The sequence below is a fragment of the Homo sapiens genome, chromosome 1 (assembly GCF_000001405.40).
Source record: "Homo sapiens chromosome 1, GRCh38.p14 Primary Assembly".
Taxonomy (NCBI): Eukaryota; Metazoa; Chordata; class Mammalia; order Primates; family Hominidae; genus Homo; species Homo sapiens.
Window position 1 is genome coordinate 161,039,047 of NC_000001.11, and position 7,880 is coordinate 161,046,926.

The 7,880-nt window shown below is 50.1% G+C and overlaps 1 protein-coding gene across 4 annotated transcripts, besides 7 other annotated features; it reads right to left on the reverse strand.

Moving 5' to 3' along the window:
- On the reverse strand, positions 205-6,931 carry USF1 (upstream transcription factor 1). Of its 4 annotated transcripts, none has more exons than NM_207005.3 (11): positions 6,812-6,931; positions 4,222-4,314; positions 3,787-3,836; positions 3,540-3,624; positions 3,070-3,171; positions 2,605-2,800; positions 2,278-2,365; positions 1,768-1,826; positions 1,530-1,624; positions 1,156-1,284; positions 205-963 (listed from the first exon to the last, which is right to left on the reverse strand). In NM_207005.3, the coding sequence occupies exons 5-11, from the start codon at positions 3,166-3,168 to the stop codon at positions 874-876; spliced, it is 756 nt and encodes a 251-aa protein (NP_996888.1). In that variant the 5' UTR covers positions 3,169-3,171; positions 3,540-3,624; positions 3,787-3,836; positions 4,222-4,314; positions 6,812-6,931; the 3' UTR covers positions 205-873. The 4 variants fall into 4 exon arrangements, with proteins under 4 accessions (NP_996888.1, NP_009053.1, NP_001263302.1 ...); NM_007122.5 differs by having other exon boundaries at positions 3,509-3,624; NM_001276373.2 differs by lacking the exon at positions 6,812-6,931 and adding an exon at positions 5,866-5,938 and having other exon boundaries at positions 3,509-3,624.
- Positions 2,711-2,870: an enhancer, noted in NCBI's record as "active region_1971". NCBI's record gives its function as "activates an Ori minimal core promoter by ATAC-STARR-seq in GM12878 lymphoblastoid cells {active_cell/tissue: GM12878}" and the evidence as "EXISTENCE:reporter gene assay evidence [ECO:0000049][PMID:35858748]".
- Positions 5,731-5,960: an enhancer, noted in NCBI's record as "active region_1972". NCBI's record gives its function as "activates an Ori minimal core promoter by ATAC-STARR-seq in GM12878 lymphoblastoid cells {active_cell/tissue: GM12878}" and the evidence as "EXISTENCE:reporter gene assay evidence [ECO:0000049][PMID:35858748]".
- Positions 6,020-6,900: an enhancer, noted in NCBI's record as "H3K27ac hESC enhancer chr1:161014856-161015736 (GRCh37/hg19 assembly coordinates)". NCBI's record gives its function as "activates a minimal SCP1, AML or CMV promoter by ChIP-STARR-seq in naive and primed H9 embryonic stem cells {active_cell/tissue: H9 hESC(naive and primed)}" and the evidence as "EXISTENCE:reporter gene assay evidence [ECO:0000049][PMID:30033119]".
- Positions 6,020-7,781: a biological region, named in NCBI's record as "BRD4-independent group 4 enhancer GRCh37_chr1:161015335-161016534".
- Positions 6,499-7,698: an enhancer, noted in NCBI's record as "BRD4-independent group 4 enhancer chr1:161015335-161016534 (GRCh37/hg19 assembly coordinates)". NCBI's record gives its function as "activates an origin of replication core promoter dependent on BRD2, P300/CBP, MED14 and CDK7 cofactors, and independent of BRD4, by STARR-seq in HCT116 cells {active_cell/tissue: HCT116}" and the evidence as "EXISTENCE:reporter gene assay evidence [ECO:0000049][PMID:35650434]".
- Positions 6,811-7,290: an enhancer, noted in NCBI's record as "active region_1973". NCBI's record gives its function as "activates an Ori minimal core promoter by ATAC-STARR-seq in GM12878 lymphoblastoid cells {active_cell/tissue: GM12878}" and the evidence as "EXISTENCE:reporter gene assay evidence [ECO:0000049][PMID:35858748]".
- Positions 6,901-7,781: an enhancer, noted in NCBI's record as "H3K27ac hESC enhancer chr1:161015737-161016617 (GRCh37/hg19 assembly coordinates)". NCBI's record gives its function as "activates a minimal SCP1, AML or CMV promoter by ChIP-STARR-seq in primed H9 embryonic stem cells {active_cell/tissue: H9 hESC(primed)}" and the evidence as "EXISTENCE:reporter gene assay evidence [ECO:0000049][PMID:30033119]".

The window sequence follows — 7,880 nt, forward strand, 5'->3', positions numbered from 1 at the left end:
GCACCAACCCACCGCAGAAGCCCTTAACATTCTCTAGCTTGGGCCAAAAACGACACACCGGTCTGGCCCAGGAACCAGGACTCCGGGTAATAAATGCAGGAGCAGCACCCCACCCTGAACTTGGCACAGCCCTTACTGGTCGAAGAGCAATGTGCCCCTCCCTTCCAGCCCGTGGCCCACAAAAGGAAGAAAAACAGACAACTGTGGCTTTGAACAATTTTATCTTAAAAAAAAAAAAAAAAAAAAAAAAAAAAGAAAAGAAAAAAAAAAAACGACCCCCACAAGGGGGAAGGCCCCAAGTGGGCCCCTGCCTGTTGTTCTCTCTGGCTCCAGAGATGTCTGCATAGGCCTCAGCTTCTCACTGGCCAATCTCCTCTTCATGGGCACCAGCCACTGCTAAACATCCTTCCCTCACTTCTTGTGTAAGCTTGCTCCCCTGAGCCACAGGTTGCACATCTAAACCTCAGCTCCAGGGAAAGGAAGAACCAATGGAAGTGCCAGAGTCCTGGGGCAAGCCAGAGCATCACCTGTCAGCAAACCTCTGCTGGGCACTCTAAGCAAGCACAGGACAAGCCCCAGAGTTTAGTGTGTCCAGTATCCAGCATGGAGACAGCACATGCATTGTGCGAGAGGAGCACAAGGGCCCAGGGGCTGCATGGTGGGGGTGGGCAAGGCTGTCAGTGCACGTCCACATTGTGTGTTTCACACCACTGCAGGCCGCCATATCACAGGGCCTCAGTTCAAGGACACACCTTCTGAACTTCCCCCTGTCCCATGCCAGAAGTGGGGCAGTGAAGGAAAGGGGCACGGGATTAGGCTGTTGCTCCTGGGCTATCTGCAGTTCTTGGGCCCAAAGCCCCTGAATCCCCATAGTTAGTTGCTGTCATTCTTGATGACGACCTCTAATCCGTGGTGCCGCAACTGAGCTCGAAGCAGCAGATTCTTGTTTTTAAGATCTTCCACCTGACATGGGAAGGAGGCAGTAAAGGGAATGGGTAGTAAAGCTGGCACTTCCAAGCCCCTGAATGTATTCAGACATCCACTGGTGAGGGGGAAAAGATGAAGCCTTCTCCATGGAGAACAAAGTAGAGGGTGTCAAACTGGGTCAGTGGCTAGCAGAACTGAGAAGGGCTGCACTGGGGGTAGGAGTCTGACCTGTTGTCGAAGCACGTCATTGTCCAGCTGCAGTTGGTCAAGTCCCTGCAGTTCTTCAGACAAGCGGTGGTTACTCTGCCGAAGCTCCTGGATATAATCACAAGCTTTGGATAGAATCCCACCTTTACTCTGCAAGATAAGGTCAACAAAATGAGAACTAGGATTTCAGATACCCAGCTTGCTTTCCAAAAGTAGGTTCACACTTTGGACCTCATTTTCATCTAAGGAAGGTGGTATAATATCTCCCAGGGATACAGGAACCTCAGGGAGAGATAAGACTACTGTCATGTGTGCCCCTCTCTCTACCATTTCTGGAAACAATACCAGGAGGCAGAATTCAGGCATCCTGCCCACTACCAGGGTCTTTCCATGACCTGGCCAGACTTGGTGCTCTCCATAGAGCAGTCTGGGATTATCTTGGAGAGCTGCACGATCCAGTTGTTGATCTTGTCTCGGCGGCGACGCTCCACTGTGGGGCAAAGTGGAGGACAAGGTGACTCAGTGAAAACTCGCCACAAGTCCCAGGGTAAAATTACCTAATCCCTCCTCCCCTCAGACATCACTGCTGAGATCACACCAGACAGCTTCTAGCTCCACCCAGATCATACCTACCTTCATTATGCTGAGCCCTGCGTTTCTCATCCCGAGTCGTCCGGGGAGCTTCTGACTTCCTGACAACAGAGCCCAGGGTGGCCAGAGTAAGAAGACAAAATACATGATTGAAGTTTGGGGTTAAGGAATTATACAAGATTTAGCAGGTATTAGGACCACTTATGGTAGCTAGGTGTGGTGTCTCACACCTGTAATCCCAGCACTTTGGGAGGCCGAGGCAGGCGGATCACTTGAGGTCAGGAGTTCGAGACCAGCCTGGCCAACATGGTGAAACCCTGTCTCTACTAAAGATACAAAAATTAGCCAGGGGTGGTGGTACATGTCTGTAGTTCCAGCTACTCAGGAGGCTGAGGCATGAGAAACGCTTGAACCCTGGAAGCAGAGGTTGCAGTGAGCTGAGATCATGCCACTGCACTCCAGCCTGGGTGACAGAGCAAGACTCTGTCTCAAAAAAAAAAAAAAAAAAAAAAAACCACTTACGGAATCTGAGAAGAAACAAGGGTCACTCACGGGGAATAAGGGTGAGTCCTAGGGGCAATTGAGCGCTGGCTTCCTCCCTGCAGTACTTCTTGTGGTGACATCATCACAAAGAATTGACCTGTGAAGATGCAGGGTAGGTTCTGTCAGGACATGGGTAGGAACCTCACCAAGCCCTGAGGTGAAGACCCTGGTCCCCTCCTCTAAAAAGAACATGCTAATAGAAGAGCAGCCCCAGACTCACTGCCTGTCCAGGTCTTAATGATCACTAAGAGTCATGAGTGAAGGCTCACTGCCTACCAGTCATGTCCCACAGCCTATTCTAGCCCTTTCAGCCAGCATCCTCATGCAATATCTCACCAGTGCCAGGAGGGGTCGCCTGCCCCAGCAGTGCCTCTGAGCCCTGGGTAGTAACAACAGCAGCTGTACTCCCCGATGTGGTACCCCCTGCCCCATCTCCCACTGCCGTGCTGGGGAAGTAAGTATAGTGCGTCTCAGCAGCTGTCCCCTCCGTGTCAACTGCATCATCACTGGTGAAAGCACCCTGGATCACCGCCTGGGAAGGGGAGCAAGAAAACTGATTCTGGTAACAGTCAAAAACTTCTTCCCACTACACCACTCTGCAGCTTCTATCCGTTGGGGTGGTAGGTAGGGTGGAGAGAGAGAGAGAGAGAGAGAGAAACATCCAGAAAAGGAGAGCCTAGTGCTTTGGGACAAGGCAGCCTTAGATGCCTCACTGTTCCTAGCTTCACCCCCATCCTACTGATTCCCTTCTTCATCTTACTTCTCAGAACTCTAGTGACCTCCCCAGCCCATACCCTGTACCTGGGTCATGGATTGAGTGGCAGGGTAGCCACTGATGGCGCCAGTTCCCTCAGTTTGGCCATCCAGCTGCCCCTCAGACACCTGGATCACCCTGTACATCACCTAGAAGTGTAGAGGAAGGCAGAGGGAGTGAAGAGAGAAGAAAAGATTAAGTGTTGGGAATCCTAGGGCCCCTCATAAAGCTTCCCTTGGATAGGGCCCCAAAACAAAGTCCTTCAGAGACATGGATTCAGCCATTCTCCCTTCTTTCCCCACACAGAGGTTTCAGCATACATCTAACCTCACACCAGTCTCTACTCCAGTATTAGCACCTCCCTCCCCTGCAACAGTCCACTCTTTCAACTCATCCTCCAAGCCAGGTCTCCCCAAGACATGTTCAATTACCTCCCTCAATCCCAACCCCAGATAACACCTGCAGCCACCTGGCCCCCTCCCTTACCTGGCCCCCATTCTCAGTTCGGAAGACGTACTTGACGTTGGGGTCAGGGAAGGTGGCAGCTGACTGGATGCTGGCAATAGCCACACTGGTTGGGTCTTCCCCAGTAGCCACTGCACCTGAATTAAAAGAACAAAGGAAAAGTCTGTGAGTTAACTGCCTTTCTACCCCCGTTCCATTTGCATGTCACGGAAGGAGGAGGATGCACAGGAGATGGTCTGGTGGGGAAGGAAGGGAGGCCATGATGGGTTCTTAGTCTTGGTTCTGTTTCTAGCACTCACCTTCCTGAATCTGCACTGTCCCCTCTTCCGTTTCAGCTGTTTTCTGCTGCCTGTTTGTGGTGAAAGGACAAAAGGAAGAGTATGAGAAGAAGTCAATGAGAAGCTCACTGGCCCAGTAACATATGGCTGCAAACTCATTGGCATTCCCAACAGAAGCTGGGTTAGGTTAGAATAACAACTAGTGTTTACTGTTTACTATGTACATAAGCACTAAGCTAAGTACATTACATGTAATCTTATTTAGTACTAAAAACAGCACCACGAGATAGATAGCACTACTTCCATTTTATAGATAGAGAAACCAAATCACACAGTAAGTGATAGAGTAGAACCTGAATCCAGGTCTGCCTGACTCCAGAGGCAGTGCTCTTGGTCATTTTGCATTCTTCCAGGCCACCCATCTTTCATCCCAGACCCTACCTCTTCTTCACTCACCCCTTCATCTCTCTGTGAGGGGGCACATCCGAGGAACTGGTCCTTTTTTGGAGGTCTTTGTATCTCCTGATTCACAGGCCTGAGTGCTAAGTCCTGGTAGAAATCATGAAGTTTGCAATGAGTTTAGGAAACAGAACAGTATCTCTGGTTCTAGAACTTAGGTTCCATGAACACATAGCCAGGAAAATAACCCAGTCATCTGCAGGGGACAATCAGCCTCCACCATACTGATGTTGAGGACTGGCCTACAGTGATTGAAAAAGCAAGGCTACAAATAGTGTTCCCCATCCCTCCATTATCACTCCAACTCCTGGTGGAGAGTGGATAATTATACTGGAAGACAGAAACAACACTTTTTTTTTTTTTTTTTTTTTGAGACAGAGTCTCTCTCTGTCACCCAGGCTGGAGTGCAGTGGCGCGATCTCAGCTCACTGCAACCTCTGCCTCCCAGGTTCAAGTGATTCTCCTGCCTCAGCCTCCGGAGTAGCTGGGATTACAGGTGCACACCACCACGCCTGGCTAATTTTTGTATTTTTAGTAGAGACGGGGTTTCACCATGTTGGCCCGGCTGGTCTCGAACTCCTGAGAGCATGATCTGTCCACCTCGGCAGCCTCCCAAAGTGCTGGGATTACAGGTGTGAGCCACTGCACCTGGCCGAAACAACACATTTCTTTCTTTTTTTTTTTTTTTTTTCTGAGACAGAATCTTGCTCTGTCACCCAGGCTGGAGTGCAGTGGCACAATCTCGGCTTACAACCTCCATCTCCTGGGTTCAAGTGATTCTCCTGCCTCAGCCTCCTGAATAGCTGGGATTATAGGTGCCCACCACCACGCCCAGCTAATTTTTGTATTTTCAGTAGAGATGGGGTTTTACCATATTGGCCAGGCTGGTCTGGAACTCCTGACCTCAGGTGATCCGCCTGCCTCGGCCTCCCAAAGTGCTTGGATTACAGGCATGAGCCACCGCACCCAGCCAACAACACATCTCTAAATGGATCATTAAAGCTATTATGACCTGCCATGATGGCAGCTTCATGGGAATCAGGAAGGGCCATGTATTGGCCCCACCATCAAAAAATACAGTGTCATGGACACTGATGCTTCTTCCAGTTTCTCAGCCACATGTTGTCCATCAAGACATTTCTGTTTTCAAACCTAGGAAGAGGAAATCTGAAGCCCACTACCACTGGAAGAATATCCCTGACCACAAAGACTAGACTTGGCATTTGGGCCCCATTCTACTGACAGGACTCTTGTTTTGGGGTATCCAGATTTATATAATCTGTTAGAAACCCTAAAGCCCAAGTGGATCCTCTTCAAGCATTCTCTATTTTATTCATCAAGCCTTCCTGCAGAACAACACTGTTGCTAAAATGTTGCTATGACAACTCCAAATCAACTAAGCCTGAGCAAGAAGGGGTAAAAAAAAAAAAAACAGGGTTCTGAAGAAGAGACAAAGGGGGAAGAATCCACCTACAAGCTCTGCCTTAGGACCCTGACACCCAGCCAGAGGGCAGGAAAAACAAAGAGCTGGGCAGACATGCCTCCAGAAAGAAACAGCTACACAGTACAAAGCAATAAGATAATCCCAACACAAAAGGGGCAAGATTTTTGGAAATTCTCTACCCATAAGGTCCTCCAAACCTTTCCTATCCAAGGAAAATTTTCAATGGATAAGCCTCGGAAAGACCGCGTCCGAGGAAAATGTTGAAAAAGGAACTGAAAGTGAAACCGTACAGACGAAGTAACGCTGCAAGGAGATCCCAGTCGATAAGGGGAAGTAGCACTAGTGTTTTGGGACCACCTACATTTCCATCTTCAAACCTGAAGAGGAAATGCCCTGCGAAGCTTGCCGCGCTGACTGCAGGGGAAGGCAATGAAATAGAGGGCCCGGCACAGGAGGCATCTCTATTGGCCACAGCTGTCAGCCGGGGCAGTCTCTGAGGACACCCAGCAACGGGGTCAGGGTACTTATTCAAATCTTAGTTGGACATCCGGAAGCATTTCCTAGGCATTAGGGATCGGTGACACGGAAACAGGGATGGGACGTTGTGGTGTGCACGCTCAGGCCAGAAGGGCCCAGTAAGAGCCCTTGCTAAGTCTGGACACAAAGGGAAAAAAAATCAACTCCCGAAAGAAGTCAGGCACCTAGACCTTGCCTTAGAATGAGGCGTCTCCCTGCAGGCTCACCAACCAGAAGGCGCTTACGGAGCTGAGCGCCCGCCAGGCGCGAGCCCGGGAGCCTGCGCCGTGACCCCGCAGCCCCGCAGTCTTAGCCCCGCGCCCCAGCTGCTCCGCGGAGGAGGCAGGAAAGGGCCTCGGGGACTAGGGAGCTCAAGCGCCCGGTGCCGGCGGCTGCGGCGCGCAGCTGGACAGCGCAGGAGGGCTGGGACGCTCGCGCTCTGGGGAAGGGAGAGAGTTTGGCCCACAAAGCAGGGTATGAGATAAAGAACCAGCACAGCCCCCTCCCCCAAAACAAAGGCTTCCTCCCCAGCAGTGTTCTCTAACTTGAAAAACGGAAACAAAATCAAAGCTGCCCTGCCTTGCCAGTCCACCCAGTTTCCAGACTTCTGCCCGGTCCTACACTCACCGGCCAAGGCCGTCTCAGCTGCCGATTTTCTCCAACTGTGTTCTCCCTCTCCCGGCCTAGGTATCTCCATAGACAGCTGCTCATGCGCACTTCCAGCCCGCGGCCATGTTGGTGAGGGGCGGAAGTGTCGCTCTCGCCCCGCCCATAAACTCAAACTCAGAACTGCCCCACTTCCGCTCACTCCATCTTGATGAGAGTTGGTGTTTGTGGGTTATTTGTGAAGCCGGAAAGAAGCCGTGTCCTGGAGAATGTAGCTGAAGGCCTGGCCACTTTCGACAAGAACGGGAAAGAGACGACTAACTTGTACTAATATCTTAGTGCTTGGCAGGGCATTTTTTCATTCCAGGAAAGAAGAGAATCCAGCTGAGATCAAGGGAGGGACGTCCGACGGAGGCGCCATCTTTAACAAGGGCTATTTGGGAGGCCATCTTGGCGCAGGGCGTCTTTTTGAAAGGTTACCTGCTAGAGATTACGACCTATCGGGGCATGCATAGAATTGGATATGTTCCTTGTTATTCGCGTCAGCAGTCACTCATCCAAAGACCCCAAAGCTTCTAGTGTTCTAAAGGCTCACACCTTCTGTGACAGGAATCTTGATTCCCATTCTTCTCAATCAAGACCTACCCTGAATGGATTTGGAGTAGTGTGGTATAATGGGAAAAATTCAAGCTTGGGGGCCAGGCAGATCCAGGTTTCAAACCCATCTCTGCCACTTCTTACCTCTGAGACCTTTGGCAAACATTTTGACTTAATTGAGCCTTAGTTTCCTCATCTATAAACTGGAGATACTAGCACCAACCTTCCAGAATTGTGTGGATTAAATAAAATCAAGGACATAGATTTTGTGAGCACAGGATACTTAGTCCAGTTCCTGGCACATAATGAACGCATTATGTAAATATAAGTTTCTCTTCCTTATTTCCTGACCACCATGAACCTAGCTCTAGTTTCTGGCCACTAGTCTCCATGACAACAACTGAGGAAGAGCACCCAAACAAGAAGAAGAAAAAGAATGTTTTGCCAAATATGTGAAGATATAATACCTATCACCAAAGACTTTAATAAGAAT

What these genes read in the sequence shown, in the direction of transcription:
- USF1 (NM_007122.5), bottom strand. An exon ending in GGCGACCCCTCCTGGCACTG is followed by an intron (nt 2,366 to 2,604) that starts GTGAGATATTGC and finishes GCATCTTCACAG; the next exon opens with GTCAATTCTTTGTGATGATG. An exon ending in AGAGCACCAAGTCTGGCCAG is followed by an intron (nt 1,285 to 1,529) that starts GTCATGGAAAGA and finishes CTTATCTTGCAG; the next exon opens with AGTAAAGGTGGGATTCTATC.